This window comes from Homo sapiens, chromosome 3 (genome assembly GCF_000001405.40).
Source record: "Homo sapiens chromosome 3, GRCh38.p14 Primary Assembly".
NCBI classification, from domain to species: Eukaryota; Metazoa; Chordata; class Mammalia; order Primates; family Hominidae; genus Homo; species Homo sapiens.
Genome location: NC_000003.12, coordinates 116358614 through 116386036, shown reverse-complemented (window position 1 = coordinate 116386036; position 27423 = coordinate 116358614). Strand labels below are relative to the sequence as shown.

The following is a 27423-nucleotide window of genomic DNA, read 5'->3' as shown; positions in this document are numbered from 1 at the left end:
AAAGTTTTTTGAGGATTAAATAAGATAATACATAAGTAATTAGCACAGTTTCTGGCCCATGGTTACTCTGTAAATGGTGGTTATTTGTAATAGTAGTAGTAGTAGTAGTAGTAGTAATGTCAATAATAATAACTATTCCTTGCTTTATTTCTTTTATACACAACTCAAAAATTTTAATATACACATACCTACTAACACCACAAAGGCTAATCTTCTTTGGCTTATATAAAACACTACCCCAAACAGTACTCAAAGCATTCATTATCTTTTAAATTGCCTGTTGTGTTCAATTTCCCAAATGGTAACTAGACAGATAGATATTTAAAAATAAGCAGACCTATTAAGGAAAGACATTCCAATAAAATACAGGGTGACTTACAAGAGTCTCTTAATAATCATGAGTCTCTTAATAATAATAGACTGAGACTTTTGTGAATCCTTAAATTTGCAAAGATGCATAGAGAATAGGGACATCACACTGAAGTAGAGACTGGATAGGCTTCAAATTCCCTACACAGCAGCCTCTTTGGATTTGAGATTCAACTTGGCCCTTGTGAAGTTACAATTTACTGTTTTCCTTGCATCTTTAAGAGTGCTCTCAAATAGTGGGAATAATAAAAAATAAATCCTTGCATGGCATCCTTACATGGCTGAAGTCAGCTTATGTACACCTTACTATTTGTGTTCTAAGAAGTTGTCTCATAGAATCATAACACTTTAAAGCTTGCTGAGAATTAAAGGATTTTAACCAACTTTCTCGAGTGATGTATATAGAAACTGAATCCAGAATATGGGAAATATCTTGGCCAAGGTGATGTGGCTGATTTCAATTCTCCCTAATTTCAATCTCTTTTTAGACTCTTAGGGAAAGAGTCATATAAACATAGCGTTTCCTTTTCGCCTTCTTTCTCTTTGGTTTTGTGTTTTTTTTTTTCATTCCTTCTTGAGTTTCCTATGGAAATAAAAGGAGCTAGATTCTGACCCTGTGACTGAGTGAAGCTCAGTAACTTACATGCACCCCTGCTTGTCCTATAATCCAGCTAGACTCAGTGACTGCTTAGTGCCCAGCACCTCAATAATTCATTTCACGTATTCTAGTCGGTGTTGTTTTGACATACAGCTTTTGAAAGTGAAAGGTAAGAAAGGGAGCATAGAGCTTTGCCCTGGTTATCCATGCTGGACTGCTTTGAATTAGAAAAACATAATTACTTATAAAATAGTGTGAGAAAATTGTACCTATTAAAATATGTGACTCAAAATTAAATGTGTTTTCTGTGTGGGTGGACAGGTGGTGATATGCAAGAAAAGGAAAAAAATCACGAAACACCTCCTCAAAGCTACCTTTTCTCTGCTTCTAATTTTTAGAACGTTTGCATGTACTGAGAACAATGCACCATCTGTCATCAATATTGGGAGTAATCCAGCTGATTTGTTAACTTTATCACTGTATATATCCCACCTCACTCTGTATCCTAGGCTAATGGGTCTAATTATATGTTTCAGAATACAGTAATTCTCAACCCCCAGTGTGCTGCAGACTCACTCTGTGAGCATAAGAAAATAAATCAATATGGATACCCAGGTCCCACTTCCAAAAATTCTGATTCAATTGGGCTGAGATGTAGGCCATGCATCATAGGGTGTCTATGAAATATTTTTAGGTGATCCTAATGTACAGACTGTTGAGAACAACTAAGCTACTGATTTCAGAAGCCAAAGCAATTGATGAATGAGATGGTCAAAATATGAGAATATTCTTCAGAATAAAGAGGTAACCTCATCCCAAATTGAGACGTGAGGTAGCAGCAGGCTAGGAAGTAATCAGATAAATTGTGGAGGATACTGGTGTGGTATTTTTTTCTAAATTGCTTAACATGTCATTTTAATCAGAGAAAGATGGTAGATTACTGTTCATTGCCAAGCAGAGATAGGCCAAATAATTCTCTGGCTTGATTAATGAGTTTTTTTCTTAAACAAGTGAAATGAGCATGTACTTGTTTAACAAAGTCCCTTTACATGGCTTGGTCTGAGGTTAGTAGGTTTAGATCTCAGCTGAAGGAGGAAAGTACTAGTTAGATTGCAGCTGTTAGACACCAATACACTAATGAGCCAACTATGGCATCTAATCAATGTGTGAAAAATGGGTAATGCTCACTAATGCCCTGCTAATGTTCTCATAATGATCTGTCAAAGTGCTAGAGCTAATTATTGTCATGGTAATTTGGCCCAAGTTCACTAGGGATAATCCTGGCATTGGTGAATAAGAACATACATTGCCAGTGTGTCACATACTTTATATCTACTTTTCTATTTCTCCTCACATGGAGATCCTGTGTGTCATTTTCTATAAACTTTTAAACATGTACTTACATACTTCATTTTTCGTTCGTTTTCTTGTTTTTCAAGCTCCATGTTTTGTCTTTTCATCCTATTTCCATTTATTTTTATTGCAAAAAGTAATGACGAGGATACTGGACAGGCACTTAAGAGCCCTAGGACCTGGTCCTGGTCCACTACTGTCAGAGCAAGGCATTTTATCCTTATAGTAACAAAGAACTAGATAAGGCATAATGTACTTATTGCTTTAAAATAATAGAATTCTACATTTCCCTTTTATGTCCACTCAATGTTTTTGTCCATAGTACCATTTTTTTTTCCTTCAAGTTTATTCATCACCATGGAAATTTACTTTTGAGCTATGGGGCATATAGCAAGCAAGGTGGCTACTGTTAGTCCATGACACAGAAAATGGAGCTCACCTGCTATAGAGATTTAGAAGAGGGAGTAGAAAATAGAGGTTTCAGATACGAAAAAATACTTCAAAGTATTATACATAGCAAGGTAACACTGTTGCCTCCAAACTTTCTCCTAGAGTAGTTTTTCTTGCAGAAGAGTTTCTCATTTATAATCTCTTCAATAATAAATTACCATAGCAATGCTTTGGATCAATATAGCACGTAGTGAAGGGCTCAGATCCCTTTTTATCTCAGTTTACAACATCCTAGTGAGATAGCTGGATAGCTGGGCAGATAATAGCTAAAGTAGGCAAAGGGAAATTAACATTTATGGACAGAACAATTTTGCCTTACACATTTCCTTTTTGAAAGCATTCTTTATCTTAAGGCTGTTCTTCTGTGTGTGTTTACAGAAGATATTTTCAGTAAATGCAACCCAACATCGTAAGGCACTTTGCCCTTTTTCACCTTGAAGTCAAATAAGGAAAGGAGGCAACTTTTACTCCCATAATAGACAAAAGCTGTAACATGTAACAAACTCGGGGACTTTAAAAGATTTTTTAAAAATATGTAAACATGACCTTAGATCAGAGGTCAGCAAACTTCTCCTATTAAAGACCAGATAGTAAATATTTTATTTTATTTTTTTATTATACTTTAAGTTCTAGGGTACATGTGCACAAGTGCAGGTTTGTTACATATGTATGCATGTGCCATGTTGGTGTGCTGCACCCATTAACTTGTCATTTACATTAGGTATATCTCCTAATGCTATCCCTCCCCCCTCCCCCGACCCCATGACAGGCCCCGGTGTGTGATGTTCCCCTTCCTGTGTCCAAGTGTTCTCATTGTTCAATTCCCACCTATGAGTGAGAATATGAGGTGTTTGGTTTTTTGTCCTTGCGATAGTTTGCTGAGAATGATGGTTTCCAGCTTCATCCATGTCCTTACAAAGGACATGAACTCATCCTTTTTTATGGCTGCATAGTATTCCATGGTGTATATGTGCCACATTTTCTTAATCCAGTCTACCATTGATGGACATTTGGGTTGGCTCCAAGTATTTGCTATTGTGAATAGTTCCACAAAAACATACGTGTGCATGTGTCTTTATAGCAGCATGATTTATAATCCTTTGGGTATATACCCAGTAATGGGATGGCTGGGTCAAATGGTATTTCTAGTTCTAGATCCTTGAGGAATTTGCCACACTGACTTCCACAATGGTTGAACTATTGAACCAAAAGTGTAAAAGTATTCCTGTTTCTCCACATCCTCTCTTAGCTATATGTTCTTTTTATGTTTTGCAACCCTTTTCAAATATAAAAACTATTTTTTTGTCTCAAACGCTGTACAAAAACAAGCCATGGTCAAATTTGGCCTCCAAAACATAGTTTTCCAACCTCTCCCTTAGAATCAAGTCCATATTGTATGATCCTAAGACACTTAGGCCAACTGGAACACTGATGTTCACATGCCGATGCTCCTAAGAGGGGATGTTAACATATCCAGATAAGTAAAGTCCACATCTAAAAGGTGGTCTCTGCGGTAGTCAACTTTATGAAAGTAAGATTCATTTTGTGGAAGGAATGCACTCTCTAATAAGCAACATAACCCTAAGTAGCAGATTTCTAAATTCTATCAAAAGTTCATCAGGGCTCAAGATATATGTTGTTGTCTAGGTTGTATCCAGCTTATAAAACTGATAGGTTTCTGAAAAGTAATTCTAAAATTGAAGGTTTGTTGAGTGAATCATTTTTCTCTTGTCATTTTAAGATAGCATTACTGATAACTCCCCTGGAAAAAAATATTTTACTGTGGGACGTAATAGAGAATGCTCTTTATAATACTGGTGTTTTACTCATTTTTGGCAAATAATTTGTATTCCCATCATTCCATATACAACCCTCAATGAGGAAAGTTTGTCAAGAAATAACCAGTCCACATGATCTTTCATGTACATTATAATACACACAAATACATACGTGTATATGCACAAATACATAGTTCCAGATTTCAAGTAGTTAATAACTTTTTCATTGGACAGTCTAATGATCCATTGAACTTGTATATTTGCAATAAAGAATTTTTAGTCAGAAGAGACAAAGGGAAATATTTTCTATAAAACAAGCATCAATTTATTAGATCTAGATTAAATTTTTCTCTCATTTGGATCTGATAAAACCAAAATGGAGTAACAAACAAAAAGAGGGGGTAAATATCTCTTTTAAAATAAATACCTCTTTCCATATGAGTGACAATGAAGACTGAAAACCTAAATACATTTTGTCAGAATTCATTTTAATGTGCATATATTATATACCTGTAAGGAATATAACATAGGAAGCAGCAGCCTTTGATTTAGCTTCTAATTTTGATGAATTAATTCTATCAGTCATAAGTATATAAGTTCATGCTGTGTTTAGTATAGCAATACTTGTAACAGTGTAAACCAAACCAAGGCAAACAAACAAAAAAACCAAAGCTATACCCAATAGAAATACCCATCAATAGAAGAATGCTTGAAGATACTGTAATATATTCATATTATGAAATATTTTGCAGTCATTGATAAGAATCAGATTGTAATCTATTCATATGGAAGAATGTCCAGAATGCATTAAGTTATAGAGCTCTTTATATAGTGTGAGCCCCACTTTGTAAGTACAAACTCCACAGTATATTTGTGTAGTTTGTACAAAATGGAGAAATAATGAGGAAAAACATATACTGAGGCTGTTAAATTGGTTGCCTCAGGAAAGTACCAGTGGCAGGGGAGTGGGGTAGGGAGTGTGAAGTGGGCAGGCAACAATGGGTAGAGATTATGGAACTTCTATTTATCAAATTAACAACAAAAATAAAGATAAAGAAAGGCACACAGATAAAGGAAATATAGGACATAATTATATATCACTGATCTTAAATAGATACTACCTTTTAATGAGCAATAAATCAATTATATGCCAGCTAATGTGAGAAACATTAAAAGTAGATTTCTATAATTCTATTTTGACATATAACTAATAGTAATATTAAAAACAGCTCACAGTATCTCTATACGCTCCAAATACTATGTTCAGCCCTTTCTATGGATTATAATTTTTGCCGCCTATAGCAACCCAAGAGGTACATGCTATTGATAATCCTTTTTTACCAATGGGAAAACCATGAATCAGTGAGGTTGTCAGTAGCTCATTCATATGGCCTGAATGGGTAGCATGGAATTTTAAACCATGGTCTGCCTGCATCTAAAGTCCTTGTTCTCAGCAAAATCATGTTATTACACAGTATATGGTAGTGTTCTAGAAAGAGTCTGAGGGTATAGAATTTTAAACATAGGAAAGCCCATGATTATAGATAGTTTGCCAAATCAGAGATTCCAAACACAGAAGCGATCTGAGTGAAATGAAGGGTTTATGACAATGACTAAGTTTCCATCTTTCAATCCTACATTTGCCTGTAAGTAAGCGTCTTTTATCAGGTCATCCATGTCTGACTATTTCTCTTGCTTGTTCAAATATTTCTTCTAATTTCCACTCTCTTGCTTACCACAGATCTTTTTGATTATGCTGATTCTTATGGTTTTCACCTCTGGTCCTATAAATATATATATTTTTTTCTTCTGTACCCTCTGACTTCCTATAAAGGATTCTTAAATACTATTTACAGTTGGCCCAGCTGTTATTTCTATTCCAACTGCCCACTTGATCCCGACAGATTTTGATCTGAGCAATCTTCCAGAAATATAGGTCAGATCATGTCACTTCCCTGCTTAGAACTCTTCAAAGTCTTCCCATTGCTGTTAAAATTGACATTTCTGCCCCAGCCTATCAAAAACCACACATGATCTGGCTCTTTCCTTATGTCCAATAATATATACTCTACTCTCCATGTCTCAAACTAACTGTACTCTTGTTGAAATGTCCATGTCTGGATCTCTAAGAGTCGTGATTCTTCTTGTCCTTCTCACCTACTCAGAGAAACTGCTCTGGCTACCCCATCACTTTTTATCCCAGTGGTCTGTTTTAATTCTCAGCATGACACTGAAAACATATGCGACTATATCTTTGTTAGGTTAATTAAAAATAATCATCTTTTTAATTTACAATTACCATAGCAATACAATGTATAGTCAATAATACAATTAAATTATTCACTAATAGTGACTGTTATTTCTTTAACATTTACCTTGAAAGACAACAGCATTCAGAATGCCCGTAGACTCACAAATGCTGTTCTCAAGAATCAATTTGTCATGGTAGGACTCGTGTGTGTGTGTGTGTGTGTGTGTGTGTGTGTGTGTGTGTGTGTGTTCTGAGCAATTACCAATAGGAAAAAGAACAGATCAAGCATAAATCCTGGGACATGCATTACTTCTGCCCTTTACTCACTGTGTGACCTTGACCAAGGTCAATTTAACTTTGTGAAGTTCAATTAAATCAGCTGTAAAATGAAATTGATCTTATGTATCTTATAGACATATCTACCTTATAGACTAGGTGAGGTTGTCCACTAATTGGGAGGAAGGTGGAGTAAGAGGTTTCTTATGTCAACCTTACTTCAGTTTTCAAAATTGTAAGCAATAACTATTTATGTAATTAGTTTAACTTTGTATCTTCACCACTGTATGTCTTATGTCATCAGGAATAGTATCTATTTCATAAATCTATAAATGCTCAGCATTTTCAGTGCCAAGACATAGAAGACCATCAATAATACTTGTTGAAATAATTAATTTCTTGTAAAGATCAAATAAACTGCTATACAGTGTAGCTCTTTATGACTTCTAAAATGTACTACAAATGTATAATATTAAATGATTCTCTACACTGGAACCTAAACTCTTTGAGAGAGAGATGTTTTTACTCATTGCTCTTCATACCTACAAAAGAAAGACTGCCCCTCAGGCGAGTAGGCTCTGGGAAATTATTTTTTGCAGGAGGCTTTGTCCATATGGGTTGCAAAATCACCTAAAATTAGTGTGCCAGCAAGAGTCTGGTAAACCAGACTGAGATGATCCCTTGAAAAAAATACCACAACAGCTTCCAGGAACAATCCATTAGCTTGACCATTCACCTGGAACTGAGCATGGCCACAGGACCCTAGGTTGTTTCCATTGTCATGAGCCTTGGTGCTCTTGTGAACATGTGGTCAAAACCACACAAAGTAGAGGTTTGGAGAAAAATGTGAAGGAGAGAAACAGTTCTGTCAAGGTTTAAGCCCTAGAAGGAGACAGAAAATTTGAGGAAGTCACTCTAAAGTTTAGGTGCTCCCTGAAGCACTGAGGCCAGACTATGGCTCTGCTTTCTAGAAACTGAGGTGGAAGAGCCATGCTGATGCCTGGGGCAAAGTATTATCAGAGGAGTATGCTAAACTGAGATCCTGGCTCTAATTCTGGCTCCCAATTAACTGGTTATTTTCAGGCCAACTGTATGTATTTCTGTCTTCTAATTGGTTAAAAGAAACAATGATGTTTTTCTTATCTAATTCCCAGTATTGTGTGTGTGTTTGTGTATTATTGACACACATATACATATATAAAGGGCTCCATGGGATTTCAATATTATTAGAAGTCATGAAGAGCATGAAAACAAAATCAGTGAATCGGCCATGACTTAGAAGAAATTGTATGCCATTGACCAATAAATACTGAGTTTGCAAAGATCTAGAACAACAAATACCATTTAACCCAGCAATCCAATTACTAGGTATCTATCCAAAGGAACATAAATCGTTCTATTACAGAGACACATGCATGTGTATGTTTATTGCAGCACTATTCAAAATAGCAAAGACATGGAATCAACCCAAATGCCCATCAATGATGGAATGGATAAAGAAAATGTGGTACATATACATTATGGAATACTAAGCTGCCATAAAAAGGAATGAGATTATGTCCTTTGCAGGGTCATGTATGGAGCTGGAAGCCAATTAACCTCAGCAAACTAACGCAAGAACAGAAAACCAAACACCACATGTTCTCACTTATAAGTGGGAGCTGAACAATGAGAACACATGGACACAGGGAGGGGAACAACATACACTTGGGCCTGTTGAAGGGTGGGGTTGGGGAAGGGAGAGCATTAGGAAAAAGAGCAAATGCATGCTGGGCTTGATACCTAGGTAATGGGTTGATAGGTGCAGCAAACCACCATGGCACGCATTTACCTTTGTAACAAACCTGCACATCCTGCACATGTACCCCAGAACTTAAAATAAAAATTAGAATAAAAAAATAGTGAGGTGTATGTGGTAAATAAAATGGTATTTGAACTGGTAGACTGAAGAAAAGAGGGAATAAAGAGGGAAATAAAAGAGAGGGTATTTTTATTTCAATAAAAACTAATTGAAATTGTCTTAGTAGTAGTACAAATAGATAAGACAAATTTTGTTGATGGCTGTCTTAAAATACAGAGTTACGAGTTGGGATTTATTTAATATCTGTGGAGAAGTTATTGAACAAGATTCTGATTTGACAAAAAACTGTTTTAAAAAGATTAGTTTGGCAGTAAGTGATGAATTATATAAACATTTATAGGTGCTAATTGATCCCCACTGGGGTGTCTTTGAAATGTGTTTTCTTTCTTCAGCTTCTTTTAAGTTCTCTTCTGGCATCAGTAAAAAATACCTAATCTGGAGAGATCCAGTTACATAAATAAAAAATACTACTCTTGTTAGTTAAATGTAAAAACTGCACTAAGAAAAAAATGCTTACAGACAGATTAATAGTACAAAAATATTATTCCTTTGGATGAACCCAAAGAACCATCAATAGCAAGAATTAAACTGTGGCTTTCTTGAAGTGTTTGTGGGGTTTCAAGGATAAACCTGAATCCCACTGCAATCTCCTGATATAAGAGGTTTTGTTGTTGGTTTTTGTCTGCTTTTGAAAGAAGTCAAGCATTGGTATGGCCTGTGAAAGTAAAATATTTTGTTATTGTAATAAGAAGGAATCCCTTTTCCATCACATTTTTTATCCAAAATAAGAGACACAAAGTTTTTGTATTTGAGAAATAGATAAATAGATGCAAGATTATCTCATCATCCTTGTTTAAAATTAATGGACCCAGTAGCTGTTTCACCTTATTGCATTTATCAGAATTCAAAGAGCATTCCTTATAAGGAATTGATAAGACTCAAAATATCTAACTGCAGCACCTCTCCAACTTACAGATTGTGTTCCAAACATTTGTTGGCAGACATTATTCTGAATAATTATCTTGAAGTTCTGAAAAGTTCATGCTGCTGTACTACAGAGCAGGCCTCTGAATATTAGCAAGCAGTGCATTGATGAAGTCAAATAAAAATTATTAGAAGTTAATTATATACAGAGTAAAATTATGCACAACAGTTATAATCCTACAAAGAAAATTGTCATAAATGATGTACAGTTTACATAAAAGTCTACATTTTGAAGTGTTTTTATACAAAATGAAACTTCAATGCATGGAAAGTATGTATGGATTTTAATCTTAAAAACACTAAAGAGAGTCGAATGATGAAAATAAAAATCCAGAATTATTCAAAGTAAGTTTTATCAATTATGTTCAGTTTCTTTTCAACATTTAATTTCAGGATGATTTTTATGATCCTCAACTGTAAATGTTAATACAATATCTTATAGATATTACAAATAAAATCTATCATTGAGCACTGTAGTTACTATAAACAACAAAAATACTTTTGTTAAAAAATGAGTAAAAAGGAAGGATGCAATATTTTATGTATACTATGACATTTGTAGCATAAAACCAAACTCAAGCATATAAAAAAAATCCTGTGGGAAAAAATATTAAATGTTAGTGGTGTTTAGCATTAGGTGATAGGCTATGGGTTTCATTTTTTATTATTTTTATTTTTTACTAATTTAAAAAACTTCCTAAATTCCTTTTTCTCTAATCGAATATGACTAGTAATACATTTTCTAAATTTCATGGATGCATATACTTAAAAAATTTAAAAAATAGTTTGCCTGTTTTTTAATATTAACAGTTTGTTTTCTTTTTCCAATACTTTCCCAGCAACAAACAGCAGCCAAAAATGTTCAGCGTGAAACCCTGTTTACAGTCCTTTTCTTCCAACAGTGGTTGAAATAGCCACCTTTTCTTCTCTTAGTCAGCATATAATAATGATTATAATAGTGATGATAGACAAAGAACACAAAATAGCATGCATTTGAAAATCATAACATGACTTCAAAGCAATTTTCACATATGTTTTCTGATTCGTTCCTCATGATATGAACTCTGTGAAGTAGATGACTTATTTATTAAAGGGAATCAACTCTTTTTTGTGCCTGGGCCCAAGGCAGGAGAAAGATTAAAGGAGCTATGCAGCCTGGAAGAAAGACATCTTAAGTCTTGACTGAACCATTGTTTATTTACCTAGGGAATATATTTATCACCATTTCCTCATTCTCAGAATCTCTGTTGGTAGCAATTCATGTTCTGGGGTCCTAGGAGAGCTCAGTTTGTGATCTTTCAGTTCTTGAGTCTAGGGTCAGTTGCATAGCCTGTAGAGAAATGTGTAGGATGATTGTAGAGATTGGATGGCACCAAAAATACATCAATAAATGAAATAGTGACAGTTATAGTGGCTTTGAAAAATAAGAAGTGAGTGCTGACAAGATTTACTGATTATTCACTATTGTATTTTTTGTTTCGTAATTGAAATTCTGTACAATTCAGAGATAATAAAACACAACCAGAAATCCAGTAGGTAAAGTGCAGATTAACCAGGTTTTGGATTTCATCTCTATATGATTGACATTCTTGGTGTCATGGAGTCAGCCACAATCTTTTAGTATCTCAATTCATTATTAGTAAAATGCAGTTAATGTTGTCATAATACTTATTAAGCTTATTAAAACTCATAGGAGAGAGGTACTAAGTTTCAAATGGCATCGTTCTTATGGAATGGGAAATGCCTACCAATTTTCTCAAAGTGTTTCATGAAAATCAAATGTCTCCATGCAAAAAGTAAGTCTCTTGAATGCAATATAAGAACACCTTCTTCTTGTATTACAACTGAATGTGATTTTATTGAAAATGCCTATGGAATCACTGCTATCCTCAGCAGAATAAAGAAATTTTCAGTGTCTTGCAAGGTATTAATCATGTTTTCTAAAAAGTGATTGTTAATGAATTCCACAGTTCAATCTCTTGACTGCTGACCTTTTTCACCACATAATTTGAGCACCATATAGATGGCGTTTTCTTTTATATAAGATATTAGTGATGGAACATTGAACTGTACATTACATGGAGGACCCTGAAGAGGTCATTATAATAAAATGTGAATGTTCTCACTTGCTTTATGTAATGGACTCTGGGATTCTTAAGAGGTTTGCAGATACTGTCTTTGATCATGTTGGCTGACTCAGCTAGTATGTTCTCCATTGCCTTGATATGTGAGAAACTAACTCTAAAGTCAACAGCTCCATGAACCTCAATATTGATTATAGACTATTGCTTTGGGGTGTGTGGGAATCCAGATCCTTCCATTTGCTCACACTACTGGAATCCCTTTTTTCTTAAATATACAAATAAAATTATTCAGTTCCAATTCCATATATTCAAAGACATTCAGAGTCTTCTTCAAAATTTCCAAAACATATCAAGGGCATCATTTTGGTAGGTCTGGGCAGAGTTGGGGAAATTAGGTACTTCTCATAACTTTTTTCCAATTTTTAAAAAATTATGATAATATGCATATAACAAAATTTACTGTCTTAGGCATATTTAAATGTACAGTTTGCTGGCATTTAGTGCATTTATATTGCTGTGCAACCATCACTACTATCATCTCCATAATTCTTTCATCTTCTAAAACTAAGCCCTATACCCATTCGAAAATAACTCCCCATTCCTTCTTCTTTCCAGTTCCTAGAAGCCACCATCCTACTTTCCGTCCTTATGAGTATGAGTACTCTATATACCTCATATAAGTGGAATAATGGCTTATTTCACTTAGCATAATGCCTTCAAGTTTCATCCATGTTGTACCATATGTCAGAAATATTGTTTTTAAGTTTGAATCATATTTCATTGTGTATGTGTGTGTGTGCATATATATATATATACATATATATAAAAAACACGTTTTGCTTATCTATTTATCTGTCACTGGGCAGTTAGGTTGCTTCCATGTTTTAGCTGTTGTGAATAATGCTATTAACGTGGGTATACAAATATATTTTTAGATTATGCTTTCAATTTTTTTGAATATACTTAGAAGTGAAATTGCTGGATGATATGGTAAGTGTATTTTCAATTTTTTGAGGAATTACCAAACTGGTGGTAAGAATGTAAAATGGTACAGGTGTTGGTATTCCACAACATCTGTACCATTTTACATTCCTACCACCGGTGCAAAATTGTTTTAATTTATTTGCTTCTTCACCAACACATGTTATATTCTGTTTTTTTTTTTTTAATAGCAGCTATATAAGGAGTGTGAGATGGCATCTACTGTAGTTTTGATTTGCTTTTCCCTAATGATTAGTGATGTTGAGCATCTTTTCCTGTGCTTATTAGTAATTTCTGTGTCTTCTTTAGATAAATGTCTATTCAAGTCTTTTGCCCATTTTTTTTTAATAAGGGCAATATTCAATTAATATTCTGAATATTCTTTTTATGATAGTATTTGCAAATATTTTCTAACATTCTGTGTATTGCCTTTTTACTCTGTTGATAGTGTCTTTCAGAGCCATTTGTAAAAACTTTTATAAAGTTCAACTTGCCTTTTTTGTCTATTATTTTGTTGTCTGTGCCTTTGGTGTCATATCCAAGAAATCATTGCCATCAAATGTTGTGATTTGCCCTGTCTTTCTCTAAGAGTTTTACAGTTTCACATCTCACATTTAGGTCCCTTATTCACTTTCAGTTAATTTTTGTATATGGTGTTAGGTAAGGGTCCAACTTCGCTCATTTGAATTTCAACATCCAGTTTTCCCAGCACCATTTGTTAATACTGTCCTTTCCCCCATTGAATAGTCTTGGTACCCTTGTCGAAAATTATTTAATCATACAGGCAAAGCTTTATTTTGGGGCTCTGTATTTTATTCCATTGGCCTATATATGTCTTTATGCTATTACTGCACTGTTTTGATTACTATAGCTATGTAGTAAGTTTTGAAGTCCTGCAAAAAATGTCATTGGGATTTTGATTGGGATTGTATCGAGCTAGTAGTTCACTTTGGGTAGTATTGATATCTTAATAGTGTTGTCTTTCAATCTGTAAACATGAGATGTCTTTCCATTTACTTATAACTTCTTTAATTTCTTTCAGCAATGTTTTATAGTTTTTATTGTACATCTTTCTTATTATTAAGTTTATTCCTAAGTATTTTGTTGTTTTTGATGCTTTCATAAATTGAATTATTTCCAAACATTTCTTTTCAGATTGTTCATTTTTAGTGTATAGAAATGTAACTGATTTTGTGCGTTGATTTTGTGTACTACTTTGCTGAAATTATTTATTAGTTCTAACAGGTGTGTGTGTGTGATCTTTGTAGTAGTCTATAGAGAAGATCATATATCTCCAAAGAGAGATAAATGTACTTTTTCCATTTCAATTTGGATACTCCTCTTAATTTCTTTCTCTTGCCTAATTGCTGTGGATGAGCTTAGTATTATGTTGAATAGAAGTGATGAAAGCACACACCCTTGCCTTGTTCTTGATCTGAGAGGAAAAGTTTTCAGTCTTTCACCATTGATTATGATGTTCACCATGGGTTTTTCATATATGGCTTTTCTTACGTTGGGGTAGTTTTCTTCTGTTACTAGTATGTTGATTGTTTTTGTTGTAAAAGGATGTTGAATTCTGACAAATGCAAAAATTGGGATGATAATGTGTTTTTTTTCCTCTTTATTTTGTTAATGTGTATATTACATTGATCAATTTTTGTTTCAAACCATCCTTTATTCCAGGAATAAATTCTATTTGGTAATTGTGTATAATCCTTTCATATGCTGCTGAATTTAGTTTTACAGTATTTTGTTAAGGATATTTGCATCAATGTTCATAAGGGATATCGGTCTGTAGTTTTTTTCTTGCAGTGTCTTTTTCTGCTTTGATATCAGGGTAATGCTAGCTTCATGAATAAGTAAGGGGAATGTTCCCTCCTCTTCAAATATTTGGAAAAGTTTGAGAAGGATTAGTGTTCTTTAAATGTTTGGTAGCATTCACCAGTGAAGCCATCAGTTACTGGGCTGTTGTTTTCAAGAGATTTTTGATTTATGATCCAATCTCTTTACTGCTTGTAGATATATTCAGATTTTCTATTTATTTATGGCATAGTTTTGGTAGGTTTTGTGGTTCTAGAAATATCCAATTTGCTGGTATACAATTTTCTCAGTACTCTCTTATAATCTTTTTTATTTATGTTGAATCAGTAGCGATGTCCTCACTTCTATTTCAGATTTCGGTAATTTTAGTTTTCTCTGTTTTTTCTTAGTCCATCTATAGCTAAAGTTTGTCAATGTTGTTGATCTTATTGAAGAACCAACTTCTGGTTTTGTTGATTTTCCCTGTTATATTTCTGTTCTCTATTTCAGCTTGCACCCGTGAGGGGACATGCAACAACCACGGATGGCACCTCTTTGTCTGCACTTCTGTGACTGCAAGCAGCAGTCAGTGATCAGTGCATAGACCCCTGATATTTTGGATGGCAGGGTCATTTTTACCCTCCCCTCAACTCCCCACAAAATGTGTGCATGCTGCTTAGGTAATATGTGTACAACTGCCTGCCAAGACACTGGGGGTTGGGTGAATGGTAGCTACTACTCTGCTAATTGATGAGATTGGACAAAATTAGTCACCATTTACTCTTCAAGCCTTTCCCGGAAATTTCTAAGCCTTCAGTACACTCTAGAGTTCCAAAATAATTAAGCAGACAGATTCTGCCAGTACAACTGTTATCTGGTAAAGGGACAGATTTCTGGTGCTTCCTTCTCCATCATCTTTCTAGAATCCTCCCATTCTTCTCTTAGCTTTACTAAATTCTTGTTCTTGTTGAATTCTTAATTACATATTTATAGACTCCTTCCTTACAGCTGATGTCTTCTGTTTTATGTTCCCTCAAACATCTTTTCCCTTTTATTCCCCAAAACACTATAACTACAAAATTGTTGTGTGCATAGAATTTTTAAAAGCTTAATGATAATAAATAGATACAGACTATAGCACATACTAAAAATAACAGTATGTTTTGTTCGTTTTAATATTCTGTTTAATGTATTAGTTTGCTCAGTGTATTAGTTTGCTAGGGTTGCCATAACAAAATACCACAGACAAAAAATAGAATTTTTTTCCACAGTTCTGGGGTTGTTGGAAGTTTAAAATGAAGGCGGCACCAGGGTTGGATTCTTCTGAGGCCTCTCTTGTTGGCTCGCAATTTTTGCCTTCTTGCTGCCTCATCATGTGACCGTTTCTCTGTGAATGCGCCCCACTGGTGGCTCTTCTCATCCTTATAAAGACAGCAGTCATGTTGGATTAGGGGCCCACATTAAAGGCCTCATTTAACTTAATTACTTCATTAAAGAACTTAGCTCCATGTATGGTTATTTATATTCTGAGCTGGGGGAGGTTTGGGAGGGGAGGGAGTTGAGATGTTAATGTATGGATTTTTTGGGAGAGACGTAATTCCAGTCAATAACATTCTATTTTCACTAACACCTCTAATTTTAGTAACTTCCTGTTTCTCCGTTGACCCTCCTCTTCCTCCTTTTCTTTAAATCTCTGTGCCCTCCTCTAAACTTATTCATTCTAGAGTGGCTAGACGGCAAGCCCATATTTCTATACTTTATATCTCTTGGTCTCTCTTCTCTTTGATAGACCTGCCAGAGTGGGAAGAAGAGACACAGCCAGAAGAGTTACATAAAAATATTTTCTGGAAGGTAAGAGCAATGCTCTCCTTGGAAGGAATACTTCTATCGTTGTGGCTCAAACTGCAGCCCGTGTTGTAAATAACATTTTTTCTCTTGACTGCTCAATGTGTATCACATTCAGCCTTCTATTAAAACTGTTTGCTGCATCTGTCTGCCTCAACCAGTAGGTTGTAAGGTCTTTGTAGGCAGAAGCTCTGTCTTATTTATTGTTGTATTCCTTACAACCCCTAGCTGAAGCCTTCATATCACAGGATCAATCTTCTCTTTTTTTTTTTCTTGCTTTCTTCTTTATGGAAAAGCTGTGAATTTCCTTCAATAAACATAATACAATTATTTCTTCTATAATTTCTACACATTAGGTCTTAAGCTTTGTTCTCGAATTGTCCTTAAAATCTACCTATGTACTTCAAATAATACAAATTACCTCATACCCATTCTAGAATGTTTGTTAATCTCATTTCTATTTACCAAAAATAAACTTTCTTTTCCAGTGAAGTAAAATTCTAACTTCTTAGCCATGAATTTTATATTCCATCTTTTAAAATGCTGCTTGTTTTCTAAAAGTTTAAAAAGGGAAGACTTAGAAACAACCCTAGATGAATTTTTTGTTATATGACATATGATCTCTATTATAACATATCTTATTACAACATTTGGTCACTAATTATTCTTTTATCTTACACTTATAGCTGGTGAATCCCATCAAACAGACCAGCATGATTGTAGATATTGTTTTTTCCTTTGAATTTGGGGGTTAACTGGCCTATTTGACTGAAACAGCTTGTTGAAACCAGTCATTTTTAAGAGGAAGCTTACGAAGTAGATTCAGAGCAAGGCTTCTCCAACCAAAGACTCTTCATGCAGCTTTGTGAATATTTTACTACATAAATCTAACATTATTTTCTTTTCAATTGATCCTTTACTTTTTTAAGAATTTTGACAATCACTGTCAGCAATGGATATTAATAACTTCCCACTCACTCTTTCTGTACTTAAAAAAAAACAATGTATCTTCAGAGATACAGGTGAGCTACATAAATATTAACAAAAGTGGTTTTGGGGGCTTACAGCAGAGTAAACATAACTCCTGCCTGACTTGTGGCAAATGCGTCTTTTGGAGTTATGAGTGCAAGGTTACCTTTAGTCTTCAATCATTGTGTATTAGCCTAGTTTTCACCTGTAGGGAGCATTCTCCTCCTCCTCTGTGCACGGTTGCGGTGGAACTCTGTGGGCATCCCTCTGAGCCTTTGCTGGTGCTCTGCACACGCTATTAATTACATGAAAAATATTATTACAGCATTTTTAAAAACCTATCAAGCAGCTAATATTTTCCGCCCACCCACATTTACCACAAGCAATTTTGCTTCCACTTACCTGCCTGCCACTCATTTCATTAGTTTAAGAGAATGTTCGTTTGTGCTTAGAGACCAGTAGATTTCGAGATGGCACAGAGCCACAGTCATTCCACCTGAAAGGAATGTGTGCAGAAGCAAATATAAGAGAAGCAGTTGTGTCATTGCTCCTGTTAGTAAGCAGTGGATTTCTTGTAAAGTTTTTTTTTTGTTCGTTTGTTTGTTTTTTTAAAAAAAGGAAGAAAAACCGGCCAGGCATGGTGGCTCTAGCCTGTAATCCCAGCACTTTGGGAGGCTGAGGCAGGTGGATTACCTGAGGTCAGGAGTTCGAGACCAGCCTGGCCAATATGGTGAAACCCCGGGCCTACTAAAAATACAAAAAACTAGTTGGGTGTGGTGGCAGACGATGCCTGTAATCCCAGCTACTCGGGAGCCTGAGGCAGGAGAATCGCTTGAACCTGAGAGGCAGATGTTGCAGTGAGCTGAGATTGCACCACTGCACTCCAGCCTGGGCAACAAGAGCTAAGCTCTGTCTCAAAAAAGGACAAAAAAAAAAAAAAAAGGAAGAAAATAAATGTAAAGAAGAGAAAGCAACATTCTCTACCTGTTTAGAGGTAGAGAAACACAGGTGGTGAGAGAGGTACATCTGATAAATTATAAAAGAAATAAAAGGGATACAGAAACTTGTGATTCAAGTGGGATTTATTTATATTCTGCTGCCTTAGTAGTGGATGGCTTCCTGATTTCTCTTTTTACCTTTCACTAGGTATTTAGCATATACATATTTTATGACTTAGTTTCAGCAATAGAACACTGATACTAATTTGAAGATGCTGCTGGGTGTAATTTCTTTCATGTAATGCCTCATATTCAAGAAACATAGGATCTTATTGGTCTCTCTCTATTCCTATGACCCTTCTAATGAAACAATCCAATTATCTTAGCATTAATCTGATCGATCGTTATGGAATGGTTTGTTAATCTGTTTGGTCAAGTCTAACATGCCAATTAGAAGTTTTTGGGTAAGGCATAGAAATAATACAAGTAATTGTTACAGGTTTTAGATATACCAGCTGTCTTACTCCTAAAGTCTGGCAAATCACATAAATCCACCCTTCCCTACCACCCATATTTTGTGAAGGTCTAGGCAATGCGGTGGCTCAGGAAGATAATGTGGGATGGGAGGGAATGTGTGTCATTGATAAGGAAGACTGAGAAAATATTATTAAATGTCCAAATCAATAGCCCTTCTCTTTTGTACATAGCATCATTCCTTAATCCTGACCACTTTTATTGTAGTAAAGCAGAGAGGATGACGACCCTTAAGAGCACAGAGTTTAACAATCATTTGTGAATTCCCAGCTCCTAGTACAAACCAGCTACTAAATAAATGAATAAAAATGCATTACTTCTGAGGCACTTCCTCCATACCTTCTTGGGGACCACATGCCAGGACTACTTTAATCCTTAGATGCTTTCCTCCATGCTCACTGAGACCTTTTATTCATTCATGTAAATATATCTATGGGGAGGACACTGAGTGACCCTGAGTGGCACAAAGAACCACTGAGAATGGATGGCCATTAAAAGTAATCAGTGTCAAAAGACTATACCTATGCTTGGAAAAAATACACTGATTCTCATTGCCTATCAATCTTGGCCTTCATTTTCATGAAAAGTTGATTAGTCTTAAAAAAGAGGTGCTTTTTGACAGAAGTCACATGTTGATTCATATATTGGCTGTAGGCAATCCAGTCTCTCCTTGCTCAGTTTGGTAGGGAAACAAAAAGTTACTTCCTATGTTTGTTGGCCACATGTATGTTTTCTTTTGAGAAGTGTCTGTTTATGTTATTTGCCCACTTTTGAATGAGATTTTTTTTTTCTTGTAAGTTTGTTTAAGTTCCTTATAGACTCTGGATATTAGACTTTTGTGAGATGGATAGACTGCAAAAATTTTCTCTCATTCTGTAGGTTATTTGTTCATTCTGATGATAGTTTCTTTTGCTGTGCAGAAGTTCTTTTTTTTTTTTTTTTTTTTTTTTTTATTATACTCTAAGTTTTAGGGTACATGTGCACATTGTGCAGGTTAGTTACATATGTATACATGTGCCATGCTGGTGCGCTGCACCCACTAATGTGTCATCTAGCATTAGGTATATCTCCCAATGCTATCCCTCCCCCCTCCCCCGACCCCACCACAGTCCCCAGAGTGTGATATTCCCCTTCCTGTGTCCATGTGATCTCATTGTTCAATTCCCACGTATGAGTGAGAATATGCGGTGTTTGGTTTTTTGTTCTTGCGATAGTTTACTGAGAATGATGGTTTCCAATTTCATACATGTCCCTACAAAGGATATGAACTCATCATTTTTTATGGCTGCATAGTATTCCATGGTGTATATGTGCCACATTTTCTTAATCCAGTCTATCATTGTTGGACATTTGGGTTGGTTCCAAGTCTTTGCTATTGTGAATAGTGCCGCAATAAACATACGTGTGCATGTGTCTTTATAGCAGCATGATTTATACTCATTTGGGTATATACCCAGTAATGGGATGGCTGGGTCAAATGGTATTTCTAGTTCTAGATCCCTGAGGAATCACCACACTGACTTCCACAATGGTTGAACTAGTTTACAGTCCCACCAACAGTGTAAAAGTGTTCCTATTTCTCCGCATCCTCTCCAGCACCTGTTGTTTCCTGACTTTTTAATGATTGCCATTCTAACTGGTGTGAGATGATATCTCATAGTGGTTTTGATTTGCATTTCTCTGATGGCCAGTGATGATGAGCATTTCTTCTGTGTTTTTTGGCTGCATAAATGTCTTCTTTTGAGAAGTGTCTGTTCATGTCCTTCGCCCACTTTTTGATGGGGTTGTTTGTTTTTTTCTTGTAAATTTGTTTGAGTTCATTGTAGATTCTGGATATTAGCCCTTTGTCAGATGAGTAGGTTGCGAAAATTTTCTCCCATGTTGTAGGTTGCCTGTTCACTCTGATGGTAGTTTCTTTTGCTGTGCAGAAGCTCTTTAGTTTAATTAGATCCCATTTGTCAATTTTGTCTTTTGTTGCCATTGCTTTTGGTGTTTTGGACATGAAGTCCTTGCCCACGCCTATGTCCTGAATGGTAATGCCTAGGTTTTCTTCTAGGGTTTTTATGGTTTTAGGTTTAACGTTTAAATCTTTAATCCATCTTGAATTGATTTTTGTATAAGGTGTAAGGAAGGGATCCAGTTTCAGCTTTCTACATATGGCTAGCCAGTTTTCCCAGCACCATTTATTAAATAGGGAATCCTTTCCCCATTGCTTGTTTTTCTCAGGTTTGTCAAAGATCAGATAGTTGTAGATATGCGGCATTATTTCTGAGGGCTCTGTTCTGTTCCATTGATCTATATCTCTGTTTTGGTACCAGTACCATGCTGTTTTGGTTACTGTAGCCTTGTAGTATAGTTTGAAGTCAGGTAGTGTGATGCCTCCAGCTTTGTTCTTTTGGCTTAGGATTGACTTGGCAATGCGGGCTCTTTTTTGGTTCCATATGAACTTTAAAGTAGTTTTTTCCAATTCTGTGAAGAAAGTCATTGGTAGCTTGATGGGGATGGCAGTGAATCTGTAAATTACCTTGGGCAGTATGGCCATTTTCACGATATTGATTCTTCCTACCCATGAGCATGGAATGTTCTTCCATTTGTTTGTCTCCTCTTTTATTTCCTTGAGCAGTGGTTTGTAGTTCTCCTTGAAGAGGTCCTTCACATCCCTTGTAAGTTGGATTCCTAGGTATTTTATTCTCTTTGAAGCAATTGTGAATGGGAGTTCACCCATGATTTGGCTCTCTGTTTGTCTGTTGTTGGTGTATAAGAATGCTTGTGATTTTTGTACACTGATTTTGTATCCTGAGACTTTGCTGAAGTTGCTTATCAGCTTAAGGAGATTTTGGGCTGAGACAATGGGGTTTTCTAGATAAACAATCATGTCGTCTGCAAACAGGGACAATTTGACTTCCTCTTTTCCTAATTGAATACCCTTTATTTCCTTCTCCTGCCTGATTGCCCTGGCCAGAACTTCCAACACTATGTTGAATAGGAGCGGTGAGAGAGGGCATCCCTGTCTTGTGCCGGTTTTCAAAGGGAATGCTTCCAGTTTTTGCCCATTCAGTATGATATTGGCTGTGGGTTTGTCATAGATAGCTCTTATTATTTTGAAATACGTCCCATCAATACCTAATTTATTGAGAGTTTTTAGCATGAAGGGTTGTTGAATTTTTTCAAAGGCCTTTTCTGCATCTATTGAGATAATCATGTGGTTTTTGTCTTTGGTTCTGTTTATATGCTGGATTACATTTATTGATTTGCGTATATTGAACCAGCCTTGCATCCCAGGGATGAAGCCCACTTGATCATGGTGGATAAGCTTTTTGATGTGCTGCTGGATTCGGTTTGCCAGTATTTTATTGAGGATTTTTGCATCAATGTTCATCAAGGATATTGGTCTAAAATTCTCTTTTTTGGTTGTGTCTCTGCCCGGCTTTGGTATCAGAATGATGCTGGCCTCATAAAATGAGTTAGGGAGGATTCCCTCTTTTTCTATTGATTGGAATAGTTTCAGAAGGAATGGTACCAGTTCCTCCATGTACCTCTGGTAGAATTCGGCTGTGAATCCATCTGGTCCTGGACTCTTTTTGGTTGGTAAACTATTGATTATTGCCACAATTTCAGAGCCTGTTATTGGTCTATTCAGAGATTCAACTTCTTCCTGGTTTAGTCTTGGGAGAGTGTATGTGTCGAGGAATGTATCCATTTCTTCTAGATTTTCTAGTTTATTTGCGTAGAGGTGTTTGTAGTATTCTCTGATGGTAGTTTGTATTTCTGTGGGATCGGTGGTGATATCCCCTTTATCATTTTTTATTGTGTCTATTTGATTCTTCTCTCTTTTTTTCTTTATTAGTCTTGCTAGCGGTCTATCAATTTTGTTGATCCTTTCAAAAAACCAGCTCCTGGATTCATTGATTTTTTGAAGGGTTTTTTGTGTCTCTATTTCCTTCAGTTCTGCTCTGATTTTAGTTATTTCTTGCCTTCTGCTAGCTTTTGAATGTGTTTGCTCTTGCTTTTCTAGTTCTTTTAATTGTGATGTTAGGGTGTCAATTTTGGATCTTTCCTGCTTTCTCTTGTAGGCATTTAGTGCTATAAATTTCCCTCTACACACTGCTTTGAATGCGTCCCAGAGATTCTGGTATGTGGTGTCTTTGTTCTCGTTGGTTTCAAAGAACATCTTTATTTCTGCCTTCATTTCGTTATGTACCCAGTAGTCATTCAGGAGCAGGTTGTTCAGTTTCCAGGTAGTTGAGCGGCTTTCAGTGAGATTCTTAATCCTGAGTTCTAGTTTGATTGCACTGTGGTCTGAGAGATAGTTTGTTATAATTTCTGTTCTTTTACATTTGCTGAGGAGAGCTTTACTTCCAACTATGTGGTCAATTTTGGAATAGGTGTGGTGTGGTGCTGAAAAAAATGTATATTCTGTTGATTTGGGGTGGAGAGTTCTGTAGATGTCTATTAGGTCTGCTTGGTGCAGAGCTGAGTTCAATTCCTGGGTATCCTTGTTGACTTTCTGTCTCGTTGATCTGTCTAATGTTGACAGTGGGGTGTTAAAGTCTCCCATTATTAATGTGTGGGAGTCTAAGTCTCTTTGTAGGTCACTCAGGACTTGCTTTATGAATCTGGGTGCTCCTGTATTGGGTGCATAAATATTTAGGATAGTTAGCTCCTCTTGTTGAATTGATCCCTTTACCATTATGTAATGGCCTTCTTTGTCTCTTTTGATCTTTGTTGGTTTAAAGTCTGTTTTATCAGAGACTAGGATTGCAACCCCTGCCTTTTTTTGTTTTCCATTGGCTTGGTAGATCTTCCTCCATCCTTTTATTTTGAGCCTATGTGTGTCTCTGCACGTGAGATGGGTTTCCTGAATACAGCACACTGATGGGTCTTGACTCTTTATCCAACTTGCCAGTCTGTGTCTTTTAATTGCAGAATTTAGTCCATTTATATTTAAAGTTAATATTGTTATGTGTGAATTTGATCCTGTCATTATGATGTTAGCTGGTGATTTTGCTCATTAGTTGATGCAGTTTCTTCCTAGTCTCGATGGTCTTTACATTTTGGCATGATTTTGCAGCGGCTGGTACCGGTTGTTCCTTTCCATGTTTAGCGCTTCCTTCAGGAGCTCTTTTAGGGCAGGCCTGGTGGTGACAAAATCTCTCAACATTTGCTTGTCTATAAAGTATTTTATTTCTCCTTCACTTATGAAGCTTAGTTTGGCTGGATATGAAATTCTGGGTTGAAAATTCTTTTCTTTAAGAATGTTGAATATTGGCCCCCACTCTCTTCTGGCTTGTAGGGTTTCTGCCAAGAGATCCGCTGTTAGTCTGATGGGCTTTCCTTTGAGGGTAACCCGACCTTTCTCTCTGGCTGCCCTTAACATTTTTTCCTTCATTTCAACTTTGGTGAATCTGACAATTATGTGTCTTGGAGTTGCTCTTCTCGAGGAGTATCTTTGTGGCGTTCTCTGTATTTCCTGAATCTGAACGTTGGCCTGCCTTGCTAGATTGGGGAAGTTCTCCTGGATAATATCCTGCAGAGTGTTTTCCAACTTGGTTCCATTCTCCACATCACTTTCAGGTACACCAATCAGACGTAGATTTGGTCTTTTCACATAGTCCCATATTTCTTGGAGGCTTTGCTCATTTCTTTTTATTCTTTTTTCTCTAAACTTCCCTTCTCGCTTCATTTCATTCATTTCATCTTCCATTGCTGATACCCTTTCTTCCAGTTGATCGCATCGGCTCCTGAGGCTTCTGCATTCTTCACGTAGTTCTTGAGCCTTGGTTTTCAGCTCCATCAGCTCCTTTAAGCACTTCTCTGTATTGGTTATTCTAGTTATACATTCTTCTAAATTTTTTTCAAAGTTTTCAACTTCTTTGCCTTTGGTTTGAATGTCCTCCCGTAGCTCAGAGTAATTTGATCGTCTGAAGCCTTCTTCTCTCAGCTCGTCAAAATCATTCTCCATCCAGCTTTGTTCTGTTGCTGGTGAGGAACTGCGTTCCTTTGGAGGAGGAGAGGCGCTCTGCGTTTTAGAGTTTCCAGTTTTTCTGTTCTGTTTTTTCCCCATCTTTGTGGTTTTATCTACTTTTGGTCTTTGATGATGGTGATGTACAGATGGGTTTTCGGTGTAGATGTCCTTTCTGGTTGTTAGTTTTCCTTCTAACAGACAGGACCCTCAGCTGCAGGTCTGTTGGAATACCCTGCCGTGTGAGGTGTCAGTGTGCCCCTGCTGGGGGGTGCCTCCCAGTTAGGCTGCTCGGGGGTCAGGAGTCAGGGACCCACTTGAGGAGGCAGTCTGCCCGTTCTCAGATCTCCAGCTGCGTGCTGGGAGAACCACTGCTCTCTTCAAAGCTGTCAGACAGGGACACTTAAGTCTGCAGAGGTTACTGCTGTCTTTTTGTTTGTCTGTGCCCTGCCCCCAGAGGTGGAGCCTACAGAGGCAGGCAGGCCTCCTTGAGCTGTGGTGGGCTCCACCCAGTTCGAGCTTCCCGGCTGCTTTGTTTACCTAAGCAAGCCTGGGCAATGGCGGGCGCCCCTCCCCCAGCCTCGTTGCCGCCTTGCAGTTTGATCTCAGACTGCTGTGCTAGCAATCAGCGAGATTCCGTGGGCGTAGGACCCTCCGAGCCAGGTGTGGGATATAGTCTCGTGGTGCGCCGTTTCTTAATCCGGTCTGAAAAGCGCAATATTCGGGTGGGAGTGACCCGATTTTCCAGGTGCGTCCGTCACCCCTTTCTTTGACTCGGAAAGGGAACTCCCTGACCCCTTGCGCTTCCCAGTTGAGGCAATGCCTCGCCCTGCTTCGGCTCGCGCACGGTGCGCACACACACTGGCCTGCGCCCACTGTCTGGCACTCCCTAGTGAGATGAACCCAGTACCTCAGATGGAAATGCAGAAATCACCGTCTTCTGCGTCGCTCACGCTGGGAGCTGTAGACCGGAGCTGTTCCTATTCGGCCATCTTGGCTCCTCCAGAAGTTCTTTAATTAGATCCCATTTGTCAATTTTTGCTTTTGTTGCAATTGCTTTTGGCATCTTCATCACGAAACATTTGCCTGTGCCTATGTCTTGACTGGTATTGCCTAGATTTTCTTATAGGATTTTTATAGTTTTGAGTTTCACATTTTAGTCTTTAATCCATCTTGAGTTATTTTTGAATATGGTATAAGGAAGGGGCCCAGTTTCAATTTTCTGCATATGGCTAGAAAATGGTGCAGTTCTATTAGCACCATTTATTAAATACAGACTCCTTTCTCCATTGCTTAGTTTTGACAGGTTTGTCAAAGATCTGTGTAGCAAACCACCATGACATATGTTTACCACCATGGCACATGCTTACCTATGTAACAAACCTGTACAACCTGCACATGTACCCCTGAACTTAAAAATAAAATAAAAATAAAAAGTTTACTCCAATTAAACTGCAGGTTGTTGTCCAGGGTAATATGAGTCAAGTTTCCTAAAAAGCTACTTAATGCATAGGCTATGCAACATTTACACATTGGAACCAGCTACGCTTCTGACATCCAGTCGGTTTTACCAAGATGTCTATGGTTGGTCTGGATATGATTCCATACTGCTTTGTTGGAGAGAGGCCAAGCCTATGCATTTTTTTATCATCATCATTTGAAAAGTTTCAGCATCTTGATCTTATTTGAACACTTTTTGAGTTGGTATCACATACAAAACTTATATTTTTTCACTACCTGCTAACTCAAGGGAAAATATTTCCTTATTGATTGATGGACTGATTAATTAAAAATATATTATACACATAGTACAAATGTATTTTATCTTAGAAAAGACTCAACCAAAAAGTAGTATGTATCATAAACTCTGTTCTCAATAAGTTTAATAAATAATTTTAAACATAATATTTTATAGTAACCACATATAGAAAGGTCAAATCAAGAAAACTTTTCTTTCGTAGAAACTAGGTTTAGTGTAGTTTAGTATGACAAAAATAACCCACAGATTTTATACGTGGTGAAGATGTCAAAGGCAAATAGGCCCACATTTAAATGCAATCCAAAGTTTATAACTGCAAATAACTATTTCTTTGTACTCTATATTATTACAAAAACACTTTTTGATGGAGAATAATTACCAAATACATGTTTGTTCTATTAACAATTTTTAGCTTTCTATTTGTACATATTACCATTTTAAAAATGTTATTAAAACCAGTAGTATCTTTCATTAAGATATGATATTTGAGTGACTCACATTTTTGTACTTTATGGTACAAATGATTCAGTCAGCATTTCTGTGTAGAAACAAGTATGCATAAAGAGATAGAATGTCTTTCATCTAGTAAATCAGTCATATTAAAGTGAAAAAAGCATTTCGATCGGTGGAT

At 36.4% G+C, this 27423-nt stretch overlaps 1 protein-coding gene and 1 long non-coding RNA gene across 5 annotated transcripts in view, besides 1 other annotated feature; one reads left to right on the top strand and one right to left on the bottom strand.

Moving 5' to 3' along the window:
* The window catches only part of LSAMP (limbic system associated membrane protein), a 643114-nt gene that overhangs the window by 59451 nt on the left and 556240 nt on the right, over window positions 1-27423 (top strand). The gene's annotated exons all lie outside the window — the stretch shown is intronic.
* Window positions 15952-26013, bottom strand: LSAMP-AS1 (LSAMP antisense RNA 1). The gene is made up of 4 exons (NR_109998.1): window positions 25944-26013; window positions 18002-18095; window positions 17766-17894; window positions 15952-16206 (listed from the first exon to the last, which is right to left on the bottom strand). It is a non-coding gene; the product is annotated as an LSAMP antisense RNA 1 (long non-coding RNA).
* Window positions 25121-25711: an enhancer, noted in NCBI's record as "OCT4-NANOG-H3K27ac-H3K4me1 hESC enhancer chr3:116079173-116079763 (GRCh37/hg19 assembly coordinates)". NCBI's record gives its function as "activates a minimal SCP1, AML or CMV promoter by ChIP-STARR-seq in primed H9 embryonic stem cells {active_cell/tissue: H9 hESC(primed)}" and the evidence as "EXISTENCE:reporter gene assay evidence [ECO:0000049][PMID:30033119]".